The following is a 24359-nucleotide window of genomic DNA, read 5'->3' on the forward strand; positions in this document are numbered from 1 at the left end:
CCCCAGTCTATCTGTGATGGTGGAAATGAAACAATCTACTGAGATAGATTTGCTTTGACAAGGAGACTGTATGCTGTGGTAGAAGGAACCAGGATTGGATTAGGAATCCAACTATTTGAATTCGAGCTCTGTTATAGAGATCTAAAAGGGCGATAATTGTCATAAAACTATCTCGTGCATAGAACATCACTCTTTTGGGTCTCAGTAATTCCATCTGTAAAAGAATAAGATAGGGTTAATAACCTCTATAGTATTTTCTGACTGTATTCCAACAGAATTCTAGGAATACTTCTCTTATTCTAAGTATTTTATGTCTTTTTTATTTTTTTATTATTTTTTTTTTGAGACAGGATCTCACTCTGTTGTCCAGGCTGGAGTGCAGTGGCGCTATCACTGCAGCCTTGACCTCCTGAGCTAAAGTAATCCTCCCACCTCAGCAACCTGAGTGGCTGGAACCACAGGCATGCACCAGCATGCCTGACTAATTTTTTAAGTTTTTGTATTTTGAAAATTTTTTGTAGAGAAAGCGCCTCATTTTGTTGCCCAAGCCAGTCTCGAACTCCAGGGCTCAAGTGATCACCTGCCTCAGACTCTCAAAATGCTGGGATTACAGGTGTGAGCAACTGGGCCTGACCACATCTTCGTTTACACATAGTTTATGTAGTAGTTCATCTCCATAGCATGATTTTAATAATCCTGGTAGGATTTTCCACTTCTCACATACCCCTAAATCACTTGTTAAAATTCCATTATTAGCACATTTATTTTGGATTAAGAAGTTATTCATTTGAAATACCAATGACCATTGATACTCTTGATGGAGCAATTGTAGGGCACTGATTAAAGAAGAGACACTCCCAGGAGGGGACCCTAGGGAAAATTCTGAAAGCTCAGAGGGAGGGGTACAGTTTTTCTCATGGTCTGCTTTTCTTTTTCAATGGCACGGCCTTGCTTATGTGCTCTGCTTGTCTGATGGCAATCTTCCCATTGCCCCCATCTGCCTTCAGAGTGGTTGAAGGAAATAAGACGGGAGCTTGAATGTCCTGTCTAATCACAATTCTCGTAAGAGCATTCCCTCAATTCAACTATACAAATGGTCATCACAAAACTCTTAATATTAGATACCGCTCTAACTCTGGGGGATGGACCGGCACATTGTAACTTAGCATCATCTTGGAGAAGTGCTCATTTTAACAGAATCAATTCAGAAATATTTATGTGCATTTGGTTAATTTTAACTGACAACTCTATTAATTTCTTTAAAAGTGTGAAAGTCTTTAGTCAGCACAGGCATATTGCAGTGTAGTTTATCTTATACCTAAGCACTCCCATTGGATTTCATCTGCTCCTTTTCACTTAGGAATGTCACCCTGATGACTCCCGAAGTAAATAGAGTCTCTGATCCTAGTGGAGTATAACATAAGCAGGTAATGCCATTTGGTGCTTATAGCTCACTACAGTGGTGTGATGATGTGGTAGGGTGGAAAATGACAGGGGCTGCATCTCAAAGACCTTCTTCACCTCCTTCTGAACCATGCGTCTATTCTCAGAAACTCCCAGGCCACCAAGTTTCTACTTACAAGGCGCTGGTATGTGCAAGGATAAAAAAATCATCCTTCAAAACTAACTATGAGCTTGGAATGTTCCTGGAGAAGAGAACTTAAATTTGTGGAACATATCTTATTTTAAATTACATTTTGATATGGTTGTCATTTCAGTGATGTTTTGATTCAATCGTTTATATTTAGGTTCTCACCCTTATGTCAGGACACTTTTGGCATCAGGCAATATGATGGACAGTGCATTAAATAAGGCAGAGATTATAAATTCCATATCTTGGATTCTTGCCTTGAAAAACATAGTTTAAAAATAGAAAACTCTTATGGAATGAGATTATTACCTTAATCCTAAATCCTGCTGAATTTCTGTTTTATTTACAACTGTGTAACCTCAATTCTTTTGACATTCAGCTTAACAATGTTGCTTTCAGTTATGGCTCTATAGTACAACTTCCAGCCTGGAACACAGCTTATGGCTAATGTGATTTAGAGTCTGTGGAAATGTGTTTTACGGCAGACGTGATGATAACACAGACATGGTTACAGTGGCGTGCAAAGTGCATTCACCATCCTATTATATTTGTCATCATTTGTGGTCTCTGATAGGATGTCTGTTTCAGATTGCATGAAGGGAGTGGACATACCTGCATGATGCTTTGTTACACATTTCCTGGGGAAAGAATTGCTGTATTGGCATCTGCCGTGGGAGCTGTGATAAGAAATTTTCCTTTCAGAACCTTCTCTAACAACCATGCTTGCTTTCAAAAGACCAGAAATGCTCGTTTGGAAGGGCAACCATTATTTCTTGCTTTACAGAAAGATTTTTCTGAAGGTTATAAAAAGGAAAAGCAAATAGAGAAAATGGGTAGTTTTGGACATCTTGTGCTTGGAGGTCAGCCAAACCCATCAAATATCAGCCTATGGACATGCTTTGTACTCAACTCTCAGCAGGGAACATAAAACCAGGGCAACAAACAGGTAGGCCTTCCCTTGCAATCTGTGCAATCGGCTTGGTACTACCATTTATACATTTATTTCCTGGACTCTGAGTCTGATTTATTCATTTAAATTCTCATTGTTTACCTGCTCCTTTTGTTAATTATTCAAATTGGGGGCACATGTGTTTGTATTATTTGTGTATGTTTTTAAGGGATTAAAGTGATTCTGTTGACAGTCCATTCCAGTTTGTTCAGAACTATAACATACACTGTGTTATTCTTGTTCACCAGGCTTTTAGGCCTGGTTTATTTGATTGGGTCTCTTCTTTGCTCTTTATAGCTTAAAATGACAGTCCTCAATCATGGACAGCCTCTCAAAAATTCTGAGCTTTAGTGAAAATAAAATGACAGATGTGAAGATTAGAAAAATAATCCAGAAACTAGGCTGAGGTAATGCAGCATCACTATCTTCACTTTGACACCTGAAATATGGCACTTTTGAGTCTGTGTCTTTTTAGCCTCATAACCTCAAAGAAGTTTGGCTAATGTAAATAAAAGACCCCAACCTGTATTGTGTGGCATCTATTGATTTTCTCAAGGATGTCCATTTATTTAAAATGTTATGATTATAATTAACAGCAGAAAGCCTGAGAGACATTTGTAATATATAGAAAGAAAAGTTATTATGCATAGTACTTTATGATCTTCTATAAATCAATGACAAAAATTAAAAAATGCTTAATTTAAAAAGCAACAACACAGTAGAAAGATCACCAGAGAGAAATAAAAACTAAAACCATGATGAGATAACATTTTTCACACATTATATTAGTGAGAGTAAGATAGTAACTTCCAGTATTCACCCATAACCATTGCTGCCCTCCTTCACGGCACATAAGAAAATTATGTTTCCCTACTCCTTTGCAATTAGATGGGGCAGGTGATGAGTGCCAAGATCACTGCTGTGCCTGGACATTTAAACATCATCTCTCTTCCAGACTTCTGCAGCAAATTTCAGAAATATTGCTTCCAGATGGCTTAGTGACAAGTTTAGGAGGAGAGAAAACTTTGATGATAAATACATAAAATTTAGATTTTGTTAAACCATTGGGATTTGGGGATTACATATTTATGTAAAGTTCTATGCCAAGGTACCACTATCTTGACTGATGCAAAAAGTAAAATCGATTGGTAATATCTGGTGTGGGTGGCTATGTGAAGAAATGGGCACCAATTGTGGGAGTGTACATTGCTTGATATGATTTAGCTGTCTCCCCACCCAAATATCATCTTGAATTGTAGTTCCCATAATTCACACACGTCATTGGAGGGACGTGATGGGAGGTAAGGGAATCATGGGGGTGGTTACCCCCATGCTTCTGTTCTCATGATAGTGAGTTCTCAAGAGACCTGATGGTTTTATAGGGGCTTTTTCTGCTTTTGTTTGGCACTTCTACTTCCTGCCATCATGTGAAGAAGAATGTGTTTGCTTTCCCTTCTGCTATGATTGTAAGTTTCCTGAGGCCTCCCCAGCCATGCAGAACTATTGGTCAATTAAACCTCTTTATTTTATAAATTACCCAGTTTCAGGCAGTCCTTTATAGCAGCATGAGAATGGACTGATACAGTAGACTGGTACCAAGTAGTAGGGCACTGCTGTAAAGATACCCAAAAATGTGGAAGTGACTTTGGAACTGGTAACAGGCAGAGATTGGAACAGTTTGGAGGGCTTAGAAGAAGACAGGATGATGTGGGAGTTTGGAACTTCCTAGAGACTTGCTGAATGGCTTTGACCAAAATGCTGATAGTGATATGGACAATGAAGTCCAGGCTGTCATGGTCTCAGATAGAGATGAGGAACTAATTGGGAACTGGAATAAACGTAACTCTTGCTATGTTTTACCAAAGAGACTGGTAGCATTTTGCCCTTGCCCTAGAGATCTGTGGAACGTTGAGCTGGAGAGAGATGATTTAGGGTATCTGGAGGAAGAAATTTCTAAGCAGCAAGTATTCAAGAGGTGATTAGGTTTTGTTAAAAAGATACGGTTTTATGTATTCACAAAATATGGTTTGGAATTGGAACTTACATTTAAAAGGGAAGCAGAGAATAAAAGTTTGGAAAATTTGCAGCCTGACAAGGTGATAGAAAAGAAAATCCCATTTTCTTGGGAGAAATTTAAGCCTGCTACAGAAATTTGCATAAGTAATAAGGAGCCGAATGTTAATCACCAAGACAATGAGGGAAATGTCTCCAGGGCATGTCAGAGACCTTCACAGCAGCCCCTCCCATCACAGGCCCAGAGGCCTAAGAGGGAAAAAATGGTTTAGTGGACTGGCCACAGGGCCCCTCTGTTGGGTGCAGCCTAGGGAGTTGGTGTCCTGTGTCCCAGCCACTCTAGTCATGGCTAAAATGGGCCCAAGTACAGCTTGGGCCATGACTTCAGAGGGTGCAAGCCCCAAGTATTGGGAGTTTCTATGTGGTGTTGAGCCTGCAGGTGCATGGAAGTCAAGAATTGAGGTTTGGGAACCTCTGTCTAGATTTCAGAGGATGGCCTCCCCAGCCATGTGGAACTGTGAGTCAATTAAACCTCTTTCCTTTATAAATTACCCAGTCTCGGGCAGCCTTTTATAGCAGCATGAGAATGAACTAATATATTGGTACATTCTTTTGGGAACAATTTAACAACTTGTATAACAATACAAAATAACCAACAATTAGTCTGCCAAATAACCAACAATTTTACTTCTGTTATTTTATCTCACTATGATACTCTTCCAAAGGTGAAAGACAATATTTCTTGCAGAAATATTATAAATAAATGATTGAAAATAAGTTAACCATCTATGAATAGACAAAGTGAATTTTTCCAAAAAAATGAAAGGTATGCAATAATAAAGAATGCTTATATTTACTACCAGGGTGAAACAACCTTGAAATTTTTGCATGAACAAACAAGGCTTAAAATGATAAAAAGCTTTTTGGAGTCTTCTGTGATATAGCTAGCTATATGTAGAAGATAATACAATTTTAAAAACTGAACAGAAAAATCTGTGATAAATGAATAGATGTGAGAAATAGAAAAAAAACTTGAGTAATACTCACTAAAGCTGTTGAACAGTTGTAGTTTACTATAAATAGGAGCAGGAGAGAAAGAAGAACAGTGGGGTTTATATCATACATTTCTGAGTCATTCAGAATTGTTAAGATAATCATGTAGTATTTTATAAGTTCAAAATCTACACATGGTAAAACATTTATATATTTTTATGATTTTTGAGGTGATTCATACATTAGCTTTTAATAGTCATAGTAGGAATCTGACTATACCTTTTGGTTTTATTGCCCACAGATGCAAAGTGTTGCTATTTGTGAATATTTTAATTTACTGGATATAAGCAAATCTAAACCTTTGATTTGTAAAACCAAAATGAATGAAAGCAGCTATTATATGGGACAAATTTATAGCTTGAAAGGTTATGGGCATATGTGTTTATCTCTTGCCCTCTTCCAAATTTCAGTCAAATGACACAAAGAACAAAAATACATTATAAAGCAATTTGGTTTTTGTGTTAAAACTAGGATTGGCTGTCCACCATGAGATGGACATAGCACGGACACTATTAGGGGATGAATACCCCAACAAGGGAGTTAGGGGAAAGAATCTTCAGAGCAACACCATTAATGCTCCCTGGGGCTGAAGAAGAAGAAGAAGAAGAAGAAGAAGAAGAAGAAGAAGGCAAAGAAGATGCAGAAGAAGAAGGCAAAGAAGATGACGAAGAAGAAAAAGAAGAAGAAGAAGAAAGAGGAAGAGGAGAGTGGGATAGTTTATAAAGTGCAAGACTTGATCTGATCTGTGTCTTCAAAATATAAAAATTCTGTGGTAGGCCTCACTTTCACTAGATGTAAGGAAGAGGGTGTCTTAGTTCATTTTGTGCTGTTGTAACAGAATACCACAAGATATTCTGATGAAGTTAGAAATTTATCTCACAGTTCTGCAGGTTGGGAAGTCCAAGATCAAGGCATCAGCAGGTTCAGTTGTCTGGTAAGACAGGTATGCCGTGTGCTTACACAGCAGAAGGCAAAAAGTCAAGAGACCCTAATGTGAAGCCTTTGATATAAGAGCCTCAATCCCACTCAGGAGGGAGGAGCCCTCATGAACTAATCATGTCTTAAAGCTCCCACCTCTCAATGCTACCACATTGGCCATTAAGTTTCAACACCTGAAGTTTGAAGGGGACACATTCAGACCATAGCATGAGATGTGCCAAATGAAGCTTGAACACTACTTGAACTGGCCCCAAGCAAGGAGAGTTCTGATTGTTAGAGAAAAGTTGTCACTGCCAGCATGTAGGATTCTAGCCTAGGAGACACATGATAACATGCCTTGTGAAACACCTGACTCCTGGAAAGCAGATCTTGTTTTTAACAAATATCATTGGCTGGGCATGGTGGCTCACGCCTGTAATCCCAGCACTTTGGGAGGCCAAGGCGGGCGGGCGGATCACAAGGTCAGGAGATCGAGACCATCCTGGCTAACACGGTGAAACCCTGTCTCTACTAAAAATACAAAAAATTAGCCGGGCATAGTGGTGGGCATCTGTAGTCCCAGCTACTTGGGAGGCTGAGGCAGGAGAATGGCATAAACCTGGGAGGGGGAGCTTGCAGTGAGCCAAGATCCAGCCACTGCACTCCAGCCTGGGTGACAGAGTGAGACTCCATCTCAAAAACAAACAAACAAACAAAAAAACAAAACAAATACCATTGTAGTGACTTTATGTCCAATACATTGTACTAAATGATTGGTATATGCATGAATTGTTAAAGAAACTAAAATTATTTGGTATGTAAAAGAAACGAGTAAGAGGTAATCATATAATGATCTTTGGGAACATCTTTTCTTAATTTTTTCTATTTTATACAAGATGGTGTTTACTGGTGGAAGGATTAGTCAGTTATCTAATGACTAATCTACTTCTAAAAGGTCTTTTTAAATACTTTCGAGATTTTTAAAAATTGATTATTGGAGTCTGTAGAAATAGCTTCCTTTAAGCTCTCTCAAGTTACTGCTAGGTTATTAGAAATTGATTATTCTATTATTTATTTAATAAGAACAAAAGAAATATACAGCGAATATTCCTATCTTATTGGAGTGTTGGCCAAATTGTATTTCAATAATGGGTTTTCTAAGAAAAAGTCCTCCAGACAATTGCTTAACCACTAGTTAATTTGTTTCCTTTCTGTAGATCAAATCAGAGCATTTATTTTACTTACATGCATTGTGAATCTGTAGGGAACGTACGGGACATGCAATTTTCCCATATTGTTTAATCATGGAGAACTTCTTAGAATCTCTTACCATCTCATAGTATTTTAGTGTTTCACAAAATAGTTTTAAAAATTGCATTAAAATACTTTGCTAAAAGTACCAGATGGTATAAAAAATGGAACCTTTAAAAATACTGAGTTTGTTTTTATACAATATGCTATTTAACTTAAAGAAATGTCCCTCTTGTATAAAATGTATTAGTGTTAAAGAAATTACATTAAAAAAATTTTTAGCGAACTTGTTTAGGAAAAATAATTGATTGAAGATTAACTGATTGGAGTATAGGTTCTCCCTGATAAATACAGTTATTAATTTTTACATTGGTTCTTCCATTTTAAATACTCAAGATTGGGAAAAGCAAGCATAATATACATTAAAGAAGATATGCTGGAGGGGAACCTCATTTCTTCCAATGTCAAGAGATATATCCGGTGGTATAAGATACAAGACATAGATACACAGACACATCTAAAATGACCTACCCTCTGTTCACTAGATGGATTAAACTATTTTATAGAAACGATTTAATAGAATTTTATAGATGGATGTAAAGCTTAAAGGTTCCTGGAACAATGGTGCTAATCTAATTAGCTGAACCTGCATGGGGATGTTTGTAGGGGAGAAGAGAGGATGGAGCAAAGGATATTCATGGCATAAAATAAAGAATGCTGCAGTTGCCAGGCAGATGTCATATCAGTTCAAATAGGTCAGTGTAGACAATGCATCTGTCTTTACAGTTGGATGCAGTAGTTGCCTCTAATTTTTAAGTTCTAAATGAAAATGGAAAACACCGTGGCCTTGTACCAGCTCTTACAAGAGAATTTGAGCAGGTACAATTCTGATCTCAACGGTTGGACAGCCTTTTAGGTAATTTAAAAAGAAATTAGTATGTCAGTGAATTTTTCCTGGAAAATAGAAAACAAAGTTAGCAATGACAAGCTGACCTTGATGCTTTACTCAAGAGCAATCTGCCTAAAGCTATTTGCAACATGAATATGTGCTCCTCCTCTGTTGGTTTGGCTCATGAGTCTCTGGGGGAATGAGTTATTAAAGTTGGATTTAATACACAGCCACACTGTGTCAGTGTGTGGGCTGCAAACAAAGCTGCTGACATAACCTTACTCCACCCTACCAGGGTTTTTCAGTGTGAGGCCAGCTCCCATGAGAAGAAATCTGCCAAGTTCAAAGAAGATGAGGGGAAAAGGAAGAATGTCTTTTGTGTTCATAACTGTTCAAATCAAATATAATTTTTAAATGTTACATGCCAATTTACTAGCAAACACTTTCTTAAATGGAAATGGCACGGCCTTAGGAACATGGGTTTTTATCCGTGTATTTGAAATGAATCTTTAGTAATGGATCTCAGAAAGAAACACAGAGTATTTTAAATGAATTTTTCAACAGGGAGGTACCTTTCAACTAAGATGGAAATATCTTAAAATAAGCACTCTCCATCTCTTTTGCTTTTCTTCTAGGCCTTTCTCACATACAGACACTGCATATTTCCCACAGACTTTAACTTAAATTCTTGGAAGGTTAAGTTTATGAAATGACATAATTTTCTATGGTTGTATAAAGAGTAATGGCATTTTGTATTTCCTCCACACATTTCGAAACCTGATTATATGTATGACAACAGTTCAATGAAATCTTTTGGAACATTTATATATAAATTGGTTCATGAGTGATGTGTAAATTAAACACTAACGATGGGGAAACGTTCCCTCATTTTCATACATATGACATTTTGGCATATATGGCATTTTAGCAAAAATGCTCATCTCTAGCTTCAGCCTTTTGAAAATAAATGTCTTGCTAAGCAGTGAACCAAATGTGAGCATGTATTATTTATAAGATTTTTGAAATACTTTCTGATTCTTCCACCTTTCTTCATAATATGCCTGTTTACATTAAAATCCAAAAAAAGGAGACTGGGAAGGCTTGAGAAAAGGGGAAAATGGCAGAGTGGAGTGTTTGGGAAGTGAAGTGCTTTAACAAAGAGGGATTGGTTTACTCTGCCCAGGGCTACAAAGAGGTAGAATCAAAATATGGGGACTAAAAGTTGACCATTGGAACTGGTAAAATAGAAATCAGTGGAACTTATAAAAGCATATTCAGTGAATCAGACTGGAGGGGCCAGAGGCCTTAATGTAGTGGCTAAGAGGAGAGAGAAGGGTCCTGTGCATAAGCAAAGGAGTTGGCTCTAGATTAGAGTAGGGTGGATGTATAATCTATTTTTTTTAACATGTGGGAAGTGAGAATACGTGCATATAAATGCATTTGTGCTGACTGGTTCATAGATGTGGTGGTGAGAAGATGAGAAAATCTCTTTGGAGTGATTTTATTTTCCCAGTGAAATAAGAAGCAAAATCATGGAATTGAAAAGAGGAAGAAGAGTGGATGTTGAAAATTTAAATGGAGAGGGTAACAATGAAATGATCATCCTGAAGAATGAAAGGGTGAATTGACTAGGAAAATGTAGTAGGGATCCTGGCTAGTGCTAAAGTTAGAGATTCAGGTGGTGAGGAATCAGAAAGGTTGGGCTAATTGATTAGAGATGCTCATAGTATCAGGGAAATGCTCTAACTACTAGAGTAAGTTAGCTAGGAAGATTGGGGAGGTCGTGACCAGAGAGTGGGAGCCATGCAGTAATTAAAAATGACAAAACTACAGAATGGCTGTTGAGTGAGTTCGATAGTTACCTTTTGAACAGATATAAAAGCCACCCAGAATGATGACATGACTATTTGTGGAAATCCTATAATCTAGTACTGCAGTAAATGAGGGAGGATAACAAGGAGGTCAGTAGTTGACCTCTTTAACACAGAGGAAATGTCAGTGATATTATCTGGTAATTTGAACTTCAAGGGGTTATGCTTTTTCAAGGAAAAGAAATGTTCTGGAATATGCAGTAAAGTTTAATGAGGTTACCTACTGCCTTTGGGAGATATTAAATCACAGAGATTTTTTTCAAGGATGAGCTTGGAATCAAATTAACTTATGTCACTCAGTAAACGTGGTGATCTTGGGTAAGTTACTTAAATTCTCAGGATATCACTTTCCTCATTGGTAAATTGAGAAGGACATTTTCTATCTCATAGGGTAATTTTAGGGATTAAGTGAGTTAAGCCTAATACAAAGTGATTGTTCAATAAGTTGGCTATTACCCGCTTTCAGTCTCTAGTTAAAAGGATTATCAGAGGAAAATGATGTGTCCAATCTTGACAGTACTGCAGGGTAAGTTATGCCTTCAGAGAGTAGTTTGATTGCTGATAGAGCAGTACAATAAAGTGAATATTCAGAGTACCTTGAGGATGTTGAACATTTTGCTGACAGCCAACTCAGAGTCAACAGGGTTCAGTGGAAATGTCAGATATGTGAGGAAATTGGGTCACCATTACATAGACAGAAGAATCCTAGTGGTTATGGAAGAAATGGAAGTCTTCCATCAGTGTCTGTGGCAAACAGCTTTATAACTTGTGGTGAGGTTATTCTAATATTATTTTCAGAAGTATTTTCTAATTATCATCTCCTTCTCAATTTGACCTCTCAAGCAGTTGGTAGATGTGGGATAATCATGATCTAGCATCTCGAACATTTAAAGTATTAGCTGGCCTGACACTTCTAATTGAATGAGATAATAGGAAAAACAGGAATATCTTAGCTCTACCAAAATACTGTGCATTTATTTTGATACATCTGGAAAAATTTAAATAAGAAAAGCAAAACATTATTAACTTAGAACTATAAACAAACCTGGGTCTAATTTACCCAAACAAATCCAACTATGTAAACCATAAAACAAAAAGATAATTGAATAACCCTGAATTATGTAGAGATCTGGAGAATTTCACTTAAACATGTTTCCAAATTTGGATTTTACTTAACACTTGGAAGTCTTCAGCTTTTTGTCAATTTGTCTTATAATTTGTACACTGCTTATCTCTCCTGGAAATCAGATGCATTCATGCTTCTCCCAGTAAGAGAAGTTATAATAAAAAGTAAAACACATAGAATTTTGCAAGGAATCAATGAAGCAGTTGGGATGCATAGTAAATCTTAGGGGAATGCACAAAGGTACTACTTACTGAAAAAAGAGGAAATGATCACAGACAAGTAGAAGAGGTAAAAGATTTGCAAATGGATGCTTGTAATAAATGCAGGTGCCGGCCAGGTGCAGTGGCTCACCCCTGTAATCCCAGCACTTTGGGAGGCCGAGGTAGGCAGATCATGAGGTCAGGAGTTCGAGACCGGCCTGGCCAATATGGTGAAACCCCGTCTCTACTAAAAATACAAAAATTAACCGGGTGTGGTGGTGCACACCTGCAGTGCCAGCTACTCGGGAGGCTGAGATGGAAGAATCGCTTGAACCTGGGAGGTGGAGGTTGCAGTGAGCTGAGATCACACCACTGCACCCCAGCATGGGCAACAGAGCGAGACTCCATCTCAAAAAAAAATAAAGGCAGGTGCCAATAGCGCTCAAAACTTTCCAATCCCCTAAATCTCTGAGGCTTTAGAGTTTTACTTTGGAGATCTTGTTAGTACAAGCGTAAGAAAATTTAGTAGTTGTCTAAATTGTAAACTTTTTTCTAGATCTTATGCTCTTAAGGATCCACACACTATGCATTTAGTAGGAAGTGAGTGAAAACAAGAAGAGCCAAAAAAAGTACATGATGTGAAAATCAAAAAGTAATAAAGAAAACATATGAGAGCCATCACAGATGTCTGCACAAATTAGAAACCCCACTGAGTTTTTAGAGCTTTTCTAGGTCAGCATAAATGAAATATCACATTAGGGATAGTTTTCCCCTTGAGGAAATTTCGTCCTAAATTTATCAGCTGGCCTAATAAGCTATACTTCACCATAAGCAACTATTAAATATTTATGGATGTATCTTTTTCAGGGAATAGTACTGTTTGTGCAAAAACAGCATTAACGATTATCAGGTTGCCATCCATATCTTACTAATAAAATCAAAATTTTAAAATCTTATTCTTAAATTGTTCTTCTTCTCTTCCTTTATCTTTTCATTTTAATGCCAACCTGCATTGTCCTTCTTTATTTCTTTATCTTTCTTTGCTTTTTATATTTTATGCTTTACAATGACAGTTTTACTATGACAGATAAATATGAAAATGAAAAATGTCAGTCATGTTTAAGCCACATAATGCTTTCTTTTAAAGACTAAGCTTGCTGAAACTTGGAAGATGATCCAATAAAAGAGTAAAAAAAAATGTCTGAAAGGGGCTTGACTTTTTCTGATATCAACAATTGCATTCAAAATCATAGGAAGGGAGTACAGGGAAGCAAGGAGAATTTACATATTTAATGATGACCACTCCAATGTTAATACAAGTCACATAATGTAGTAAATTCACAACCAGAAATTTAAAAAGTAAAAATGTTTAGCGGAGATAAAATCTGAGCTCTCCCACAGTTATGCAGAATTCAATATCTTAGTAAACTGCCTAAGTGCAAAGTCTGTCAAACATTCTTTAACCTCTGCATAAACACTCAGATGAAGTAAAATTAAACAGACCAAAAAGGATTTGGTGCATAAAAACGAATTAACACTGTTAAAAGCAAATCTGAGAGAAATGGCTAAGAGTGCAGTGACACTGGCAGCATAATTTTTGATCTTTCTGAATCCTTATGTTAAAACACACAGAGAGACTAGAGGTGAAAACACAAATGCATATGGAGAATATTTACCATAAAGCTAGAAACAAGACATTCCAAAACTACTAATGGGAGGGGAAATGTACCATCAACCACACGACCTATGTTTTTATCATCTGCTCTGGAGAAAGCAAAGAGAATCTGACAGGCCTGAGAAAAGGAGAATCCCCGAATTTCTAATGGATTTTCACTGAAATAAAAGTGGTGCAAATTTTAGAAGAGCTGATGAAACCAGGTGGGAATTTGCCAACTGTGCTAGTGGGTAAATGCAGGTTTTTTGGTAAGAGCTAAAGTCACTGGAGCAGTCTAGCTGCCATGAACTTGGGAAAGTGAACCACTAGACATTTATTTCAGAGTGAGGCCTCCTCACTGAGCAGAGTGTAACAGCAGCAGGATAAACGAAGAAGAAGGTCCAGATAAAAGTAAGAATAGATTACAAAGTGAGGGAATCTCAGAAGGCAAGACTTTATGTTTTTTAACACTACTTACATATAACAGAGGAGGAAGCTTTGTGAAGTTAGAAAAGCTGCCTTAAACTTCACTCTAAAATTCAGAAAGAGAAATTTGCATAAAAATCAACAACAGGAAATATTTTAAAAAGAACAAAATCCAATTAATGTTAATATATTAAAAATATTAAAGAGAAGAATCACCTTCTTACACAAAGTACAACCTTCAAAAAGACAATCTCTCAAAACAATTCAGAAAAGCTGAGATATTTAAAATGATATAAATTATGAAAGAACATCACAAATCAGAATTGCAAAATCTCTGAAATGAAATGGTAAAATCTACGAAAGAATTAGAAACAAGAGAAAAAATATTTTAAAAATTAAGACTTCAATAAAAGAGATAAAAGAGCAAAAAAAGTCTTTAAGTAGATAAAAAGGAGAACTTCAAAGAAAATGCTAAAAAGGATTTCAGAAGAAGTGGCAAATATTGAAAATAGCTGAAGAAGGTTCAAGATACAGAGAAAGTCAATATTTAAGGAAGAAAACCAAAGTAAGAGAACAATAAGAACAACAAAATACGATAAATGTTCATTATATAATAAACAAAATTCGTCCTAAAATAAAGGAAAAGATTTAACAAAACATATTAGAAGAGCAAATGGGAAGACTAATACCAGCACTTAATCTAGTAAAATTACTGGACTTTAAAGAAAAAGCCAAAAGATTCTTAAGGTATCTGAGTAAAAAGAATATGTAATTTATAAGGAAAATGCAATTTAGCATCAGACTGTTCAACAGTAATATTTTATGATAGAAAAAAATGGAGTAATATATTTAAGAGTCTCAAGGAAAAAAATTGGAAGCAAACAATTTTATATCCAGCAAAACTGACTCTCATCTAAAAAAGAAAGTGTTATTGACATGCAGTAACTCTTAACATGCAGTAACTCAATATATTTTAATGGGATTTTTTAAAGGAATCTACTAAAAAATGAGCTTCACACAACCATAATGACAATAGAGTCATCAAAAAACGACTGGTGGTTAGCATTGCTTGACTATGTAGTTACTTACAAAATTAAGAATGAATGAGGGAGAAAGGGACAGATTATGGGACATAATAACAATATATGTAACAATGGGGATACAGAATAAATGCTAAAAAGGATGGCATGGGCAAAAATAATCATTTTTATTAATCTAAATGAATCTTGTTAGCATGAGAATTGTTATTCTGGCTGTTCTACATTTATTGCATTTTAAAGCAAATTGGTCTACATGGAATGCTCTAGTTCTGTCATTTTCTTTGCCCTTAAAAACAACGACCCCTGGTGTGAAAAAAGAAGTTATCAATGCCATACAGAAAATGTTAAGTAGTAGAAAATGTTAATAGTATATCTACTGTTACTTCTGCATGTTATAGCGCTGACTTAAATTGGAAATTAGACTATGATTTCTTAAGTTATTTTCTAACTCTGTCCATTCCAATGACCTAGAAATGATGTGTAAATGGGATCCTTGGTATGCAAAATGTGAAATTTAAATTCTATTTATTGTTAAAAGACACCAAGAATTCTTGGAGAAATAGCTGATTTGAGTTGGAGACCTAGGCGGGAAATGGACAAGATGAAACTGGAACAACTTAGTATAGCAAACAATAAGGTAGCTATCAAAGATTATTAAGATCATCCCCAAAAAAAGAGACAACTTAGGAATCTTTATAAAGATGCATCTATTTCATCTTCCTAATTTTTTCCCTAATTATTCCTAATGACAAAAACCGCAATTACTTTTGCACCAACCTAATACTTTAATCGTATATTTTTTTCTGCTGTATGAACAAGGAGTTCCATGTTTTCATTTTTGTGCTAGCCTTGGAAACCACAACAACATATTGTTCCATTCCCCCCAAAAGTTTCATCACGTCCCTTTGCAGTTGATCTCCTCCTCTGTTCAACATCTGGCAAACATTGATTTGTTTTGCACCCATATGGTTTTGCCTTTTGCAGAAGGAATGAAATCACACAGTAGCTTTTTGAGCATAGCTTCTTTCACTCAGCATAATGCCTTTGAGATTGATAGACTACATATTGTTGCATTTATTAATAGTTCATTGCTTTCTATTGCTAAGCAGTCTTCCATCTTTTATCCATTCATCTGTTGGTGAATGATGATTTCTAGTTCTTGGTGATTATGAAAAACGTTGCTATACATGTGATTTCTTTTTCATTTTTTGATAAAAGATCAAACAAAACGGCCTGAGGATCTTAATCACTTACAGTGCTATATTATATACATTATATCCTGAAAAACATAAATGTCTATGTACAAAGGAAATATTATGTCGAAATATTGCCCCAAATATTACTGTCTTAAAAGTATATAGATTCTATTTTTCTATTTAATTTTGGGGATAAAAGATGGTAGGGTAAAATGAAGAAAAAAACTAAAGAACAAAATAAGAGTGAGATGAAGTACCTAATAAATATATACATCTATATTAATTTTACCCAAATAAGTATAAAATATGACATTTGTATGAATATGCTAATTTATTCAAGGGGCTGAAATATTATCACTTTCTAATTTTGTCTACTCTGTTCATTCTTCTACTGCGTATTTCTGTTTTGATTGAACTAATTATAGAATTATATATTACTGTTCTCAAAAAAATTGTTAGTGCCATGAGTACCAAGTCAGCAGCACCATAATTAAGAACTACTATTTGTTGGGTATGTAGTATGTGCTGCACAGCATACTTCGTGTTTTTCATTTATAGCATAGATCTGTAACAATACCTCATGGTAGGTTTTATTATCCCCATTTTATAAATGAAAAACTGAAGTATAATTAACTAAATCAATATAATTACTGCTGAGATCCAGTATTAAAATCCAGCCCCGTCTTTTTCCATGGCTAGCAAGTAGAAGTGTTGGATGTGAAACAAGAGTTATACAATATACTTAGATATGTAAGTAATTTAGCTTTTCCTTACAGTAATTTTTCGATATAAAAGCCAAAGAAATTTCCTTACTTTTTTTTTTCCAAGTTTATACTTCAACTCTCTTTGAAATCTAGAATAAAAAACAGACACACTGCCCTTTTTCTGTTTCACTGATATGATTTACAATTTATAGTAAGTGACTGGACACTAGGCTTACACAAAATTGTTTCCAAGTAAGGAACAATGTGACAAAGGTGTTACAAGCTCTGGCTCTCCTGGATTATGCTCAAATCCCACCTCTGGGCTTGTTAGTTGCACAACCTTGAACATTTTGTTTGAATCTTCAGTACTTCAGTGTGCCCTCAGGAAAATAAAAATAATGTTAATAAAACTAGCTCCTAGGCTTGTTGCGAGAATTAAATTAAATTATGTGAACAAAGCTTGTGGAAAAATGATATCCCATAGCAAAAATTCAATAAATGCTTAGTTATTATTCACACATGAGAATATACTAAGTATACTATCACTGTTTTAGATTTTTCTTCCATCAGATTTACTACATGAAAGTAAAATACGTAAAATCAATGCTAACTAATGTGCACAAATAATTATCTGAATGTACTATAAACAAAGACTTTGAAAACTGCAAGTCCTATCTACTTAACGAACACCTGGGTTGAGTGAACTAAATGGCCTCTATCAGAGACATCGATGACTTGCACTGAACTTTGATCTTGTCACTAAATGTCATTCATCACTGGCAATATTTCACACACCATTTGGATTTGCTTGACAAGCTATCTATCCTCATGGAAATCTACATCTTGCTCCTTTAGCTGCTCTCAGAGTAAGAGTGCTGTTACTTAACATATTATCATTCTTTCAAAACCTTGTATTCCTGGAGGTTATAAAAATAGGTAGGTGTCTGATTTAAAATTGAAAACGAAATGTGGAGCTGTTCTTACTTCCAGGCATAAAAATTACGATAGGCAATTTCCATTATTATTTGAACATAAAATTTCATTTCTTAAGGCTTTAAGCTTTTTTAAAAAAGTTTATTGCTGAATTTATTACTTTAGAGATAGAATTGCCCATTTTCTTTGTATTTGTCATCAAATACTATTAAGTAGTTAATTTTGTCAGAAAAGGTACCAGACATTGTTCAGCATAAATAAGGAGACTCAGCCTGAGCTCTTCATTAATTTCTTATTTAATTCTGTCAGCTCTCAGGTACTCAGATAGCACAAATTTCAAAACAGAAACTTTGGCATATAGGATTTAGCCATTATACTTCATTTTGTGTTTTGTGGTTAGTTTCATTTTAATGAGGTAGGCAAAGACGTTTCAGTGGATTTTTACAGAGAAAACTTGCACTTTGTACTTAAGAACACACAATTCAATCTATGTCTTTTTCTTGCCTTAAGCTCCATTTTAAAAACATCTCTGAGTTTGCTTGTGAATTGCACATAAATGTAAATTCAGTGCAGGTTTTTAAAGTTATGTTTCTCTTGAGTCCTAAAAACATATTTCACCTTAATTTTAACATTTTGGGTATTTTTAATCTCAAGATTTTATGCCCTTTGCAATTTGCATACTTTTAAGAATTTACTTCCCTACATCCCCACTTTAAACTTACTTAACACACATTTGCAAAGGGGTGGTTGCAAATGCCAAATGCACTCTATACTTGGAGTGTGTTTGTGTGTGTATGTGTGTGTATGTGTGTGTGAGAGAGAGAGAGAAAGAGAGAGAGAGAGAGAGAGATTTCCCTATCTTTGAAATTTTCTCAACATCTTCTTGCTCCTAAAATGTGGGCTAGGGGCTGGGTGCAGTGGCTCATGGCTGTAATCCCAACACTTTGCGAGGCTGAGGTGGGAGGATTGCTTGAGGCCAGGAGTTTAAGACCAGCCTGGGCAACACAGAACCTGTAAAAGTCAAAAAAAAATAAAAGAGAGAGAGAGAGAAAAGAAAAAGATAATGTGCTGTATAGGATGACCTGCCCAAGCTGTCTCTTGCCTAGTAGGCTGCTTATATCTTTAGCTGATTGTTCCAGGTGCTTATATACTGTCCCTCACTACATTACATTATTCTATGAAAGAATAAGTTAGATAGACCTCCGTCTTTGATTAAGACAATAAATACCTTCTTCCAAGGCTTCATTGGTAGAGCAGCAGCATCTTGTTCTTCTATTGTCAGGGTCATAATTATGATTTTTACTCACTTCCCTTGAAAGTTTCCTATTTTTGTGTCCCTTTCCCTTAAAAACACATCATCATTGTGTTTGTTTATATTTTAATAACAAGGGAAGGTCTCTGAAATAATGACTATTAGCATCTGTTCACAACAATATTTGTGCCAGATATTTGTTTTTAAAAAATGGAGCAAATGTATTAGGTAATATTTGTAGAGACACACTATACATCAAGGACTATCGTTAGGTGGTTCTTTTGATTCAGAGCCCTCTGTGCCTCGCCAAACAGGAGGAATTCTTTAATAGAACTTTTGTGAGCAATTGGTGATCACCTTCCAAATGTAATCTGATTCAGAATATAATAGTTATTCTGTTTAATTATCAGATTGTAACCATGGAAGACACATCTAAACTCAAAAAAGAGAAACGTCTGTGAGATCTGAGAATTACCTGTGTTCATTATGAAGAAGTAAATAAAATACAATGATTAAGAAAACATATACAACTTTCCCTACTACAGAGCAACTTCATGTATGTATTTGATTTCAGTACATAGTTCTCATTTGTCATTTTGTTTCTAGCTGCCTCAGTTAGGGTGGAAACTTGACTGTATAACTTTCCAAGGTAGTAGAGCTAAACATGGGGATTTAGGACTGTTTTGGGGGCAGGAAAGGAGAGTTCTGGTTCTCGAGTTTCCCTCTGGCACACTTAATGATATCCAGTGCAGGTATATACCTCAATAAAACCAGAGCCAGAGAAAATAAATGTAGACACGTTGTTCTTGAATCATACTAATTTTCTGTAGATGTCTCTAGGAAAATTTAAAATGGGTGAAATGGAAATCCCTGTATATCCAGACTATGCTTCCTCATGGCCTCATTTAAACGATAACCTGGCCAGTAGCTTCTTTCTGATGCCTTTCCTGAATAGTGACAGCAGACGAAGTTATTCAAATGCCTATTGAAGAGTTCTGGAGTATGCAGGAAAGCGCTGCTGTGGAATAATGCCTAGAAGGCAGGGTAAATTTCCACTTAAGGTCTTTTCCATAGCAAGTATTATTTTTAAGGCAGTGGAATTATTTGATCCTTTGAGGGAATAGAGTTTGCAGCTAGCTGAAGTGAGTAGATGAGTCCTCAGAGTTGGCATTTGTGGGCTGTTGTACTATTTTTTTTATTTTACTTTAGGTTTGGGATACATGTGCAGAACACGCAGGCTTGTTACATAGGTATACATGTGCCATGGTGGTTTGCTGCGCCTATCAACCTGTCATCTAGGTTTTTAGCCCTATAGGTATTAGGTATTTGTCCTAATGCTCTCTCTCCCCTTGCCCCCAACACCCGACAGGCCCAAGTGTGTGATGTTCCCCTCCCTGCGTCCATGTGTTCTGTATGTTTACTGCAGCGCTATTCACAATAGCAAAGACATGGAACCAACCCAAATGCCCATCGACGATAGACTGGATAAGAAAATGTGGCACATGTACACCATGGAATACTATGCAGACATAAAAAAGAATGAGTTCATGTCCTTTGCAGGTACCTGCATGAATCTGGAAGCCATCATTCTCAGCAAACTAACACAGGAACAGAAAACCAAACGCCACATGTTCTCACTCATAAGTGGGAGTCGAACAATGAGAACACATGTTGTACTATTTTAACTTCAGTAGCTTCAGCAGTTGGCATCTCACGGATGCCTACCACTCCAGGGATTTAAAATGAATGCTTATGTCACAATCTCTACCATGTTCTTAGCTTCTCTTTCTATTGTCCCAGTACTAGTTGTCTTCACTTGGTGGGTGCAAAAGTCTGAGCCCACATAAACTGACTATGGACATCTAGTTGCTTTTTTGTCAGCAGTAAACAGTTGTTTCAAACTCTTGTGTTTTTCAAGAATATAAACACTTTGTTAGATGATTCAGAGGTTGTGTCATGAATTGGCGCTGATTATTTTACTTGTCTACAAGGGGGTCTCTGCCTATTCCCTCAATGTGATACATGCTCTTCGTTAGAATGCATGTTTTTAAAGTAAAACACCCTCCCTGTCTTATAACTCATGAACGCTAGATGTCAGTATTGCTCTTTTTCTTCCAAACCAATGCCCTTAGTGAATGATGTCATAGCCTGCTCGGTCTTTCAGCAACGTTGTACACACAGAAAATTGTTCAGCTCAGAGTCTTTTACTGAAATAGTCGGAACCATATACTCTCTGGCTTTCTATGATATGGTTCACGTTGTTTTAAGGAAACATTATCATTTCTCTTCTGCAAAGAGCAGTATTTTTATGAAAAAATTAAAGGTAGAATCAAAATAATAGAAAAAAAATTATATTTGTCAAGGCCTTTTTAATAATAATGGTTTTATAAAATGCAGCTGCCACTAATCACTTTTGGATATAGCTAAATTGCAAACATCTCTGAGATCTTGATGGATGAATAGCAGAAGATATAATACAAGTAATAGCATTCAAGAAGGCAAACTATCAAATATTTTCAAAACTATATATAATTTGTTTATATTGTCTCATTTGAATTATGCATCTTTAAAAAGGTTGTTAGAAAGCAATATTTAAGCATTTTGTTTTTGCCAGGAAAAAAAATCAACAACAGAATATCTTGAGACAAAATCCTCCAAACACCTTTGTATCTAAAGCCACACGGTCATTGTCAGTTGGCAAACTCAGATATTTATATTAGCATATAAAATCTTCTTTAGGGGCTACATGTTACTCAGGGTTTTTACCGTCCACTTGCTTCTTTCAGAAAGTTTCATTTGGCACCCATTCATTCAGTCAGTCTTTATTTCATTCAGCAAATAGTTATTGAATACCTACTCTATGCTCTATGCTATATGGTGTTCTACACCTTGGGGCTACTGAACAAAAACTATATTATCATCTTCATGGAAATTACATTTAAAGGTAGCAGGCAGAGACTGACAAAAAATGATACAAGTAAATATATTATATAATTTCACAAATGTTAAGTTCCATTAAGAAGAACAATGCAGAGCCGGGCTTGGTGGCTCACGCCTGTAATCCCAACACTTTGGGAGGCCGAGGCGAGTGGATCACGAGGTCAGGAGATCGAGATCATCCTGGCTAACATGGCGAAACCCCGTCTTTACTAAAAATACAAAAAATTAGCCAGGCGTGGTGGCACGCGCCTGTAGTCCCAGCTACTCGGGAGGCTGAGACAGGAGAATGGTGTGAACCCAGAGCTTGCAATGAGCCGAGATCGTGCCACTGCACTCCAGCCTGGGTGACAGAGTGAGACTCTGTCTAAAAAACAAAGAAAAGAAAAGTAAAACAATGCAGAATTATGGGACATCAAATAGTATAATTGGGACATCACATAGTATAATTAGTTTCACAAGAGTAGTCCTGGAAGACATACATGTGAGGGTGACATTTATTTCTTCTTATTATTTTTTGAGAGGGAGTTTCACTCTTGTTGCCAGGCTGGAGTGCAATGGCGCGATCTCGGCTCACTGCGGGTTCTGCCTCCTGGGTTCAAGCAATTCTCCTGCCTCAGCCTCCGGAGTAGCTGGGATTACAGGAACCGACCATCACGCCCAGCCAATTTTTGTATTTTTAGTAGAGACGGAGTTTCACCATGTTGTCCAGGCTGGTTCCGATCTCCTGGTCTCAAGCGATCCACCCGCCTCGGCCTCCCAAAGTGCTAGGATTACAAGCATTAGCCACCACACCCGGCCTGAGACACCAATTGAGCCTAGATCTGAACTAAGTGAGGCAGCGAATAAGGAATTACAAGGCAAGGATCAGCAAGTATAAGAACACTGAAGTAGAAGTAAACTTGCTGTATTTGAGGAGGCCCTGGTAACATAAATGTTGTAGACTGAAATGAGATTGCAAAAGGTCAGTTTGAGAACATAGCAGGATTGAGGCCATGGAATCTACGATGATGATGATGATGGAGATGATAATGACAGTAAACATTTATTAAGAGTAATATATGCCAAGTGGTTTTATAAACACTTTACATATATTATTAAATAATTTAATTTTTACAGCAACCCAAAGAGAAGGACAGTATTTTTCCTTCTTTGGAGAGAAGAAAACTGGGTAATAGAGAGTTTACGTTCACAGGAACTAGTAGAAGCTGGTGCAACTGGCATATATATTAAATCATTTTGGCTCTAGAGCCTGTTCTCTCAACTATTAAGTGATTGTAAGCAATGAACATTTTTTTCTAGTTCTTTACTTATGTGTCATATATCTACTGCTTTGCTGCAGCATGAAAGAGGTGATACCATAAGGTATAAAAAAAACAGACACTAAAACAGCGGGTAATACTGAGATTCATATTTTAGCTCTCCTTCTAACTTGCTTTTTGGATTTAGAATATCTCTTTGCCTCTTCGGATGTCGGTTTCCTCAACTGTAAGATAACTGTAAGGATGCAGACTAGAGTTCACAAGTTGGCAATCCTGAGGACAGTGATATTTCTCCATATGTGTTTCCACTAGACCTTTCATTAGACAATGGTGTTGTCATTGCTGTTATTGGAATGAAATTGTTTAAAACACTTGAAATTGAAATAACTTGTATACGACTGTAGATTTATGGTTTGAATTTTAACATCTGAATATGTAACACTATTAAACTTGTATTCAGTGAGCCAGGTGGTCACCTAGACAATGAGTGGACCTCCAGAAGGAGCACGAACTCTACTTCCACAGTTACACAGCAACAGCCATTTATGTCACCTGTCAGGCCGTGGGATGTATTTTTAATGGAATACCCAGGTCCAACTATTCTCTGAGATCTTTTCTAGCGCTAGATTTTATGTCTCCACTTAATTTTCTTCAGTGATATGAGATTATGGTGTAAAAGGGGCTGATTGAGGCCGGAGAGAGATGGTACAGAAAATACCAATTGTCATTCCAAAGTTTTGCAACCTTGTTCTTTTGAAAGAGACATCCCTGTTCAACAGGCAAAGGGAAAAGAATGAGTTTGAGGTAAACCAGAAGTTTTGAGGTAGAAAAAGATGACTGTTCTTTATGCCTCCTTCTACTGGTTCTTTGAAGGTTGCTGACTTCATTTTGTTTAAAACGTGAATTTACAACCTATCAGCATGTAGGTGCAAATATAAATATAAAAATACAGTCCAAAGACAAATAAAATTATTTTAATTAGTTGCTACTGTAAATTACCAATTTCTCATATTTTTCCCACATATCTTTTTATTGAATGAATCTGCATCTATAAATTAATTCCAAGACTCTTCTGTAGACTCATAATAATCCAA

At 36.3% G+C, this 24359-nt stretch overlaps 1 annotated feature.

Annotated features, from left to right (window-relative positions):
• Nucleotides 20979–21273: an enhancer, noted in NCBI's record as "tiled region #13283; K562 Activating DNase matched - State 12:CtcfO". NCBI's record gives its function as "activates a minimal TATA promoter and a strong SV40 promoter by Sharpr-MPRA in K562 cells {active_cell/tissue: K562}" and the evidence as "EXISTENCE:reporter gene assay evidence [ECO:0000049][PMID:27701403]".

This window comes from Homo sapiens, chromosome 4 (genome assembly GCF_000001405.40).
Source record: "Homo sapiens chromosome 4, GRCh38.p14 Primary Assembly".
NCBI classification, from domain to species: Eukaryota; Metazoa; Chordata; class Mammalia; order Primates; family Hominidae; genus Homo; species Homo sapiens.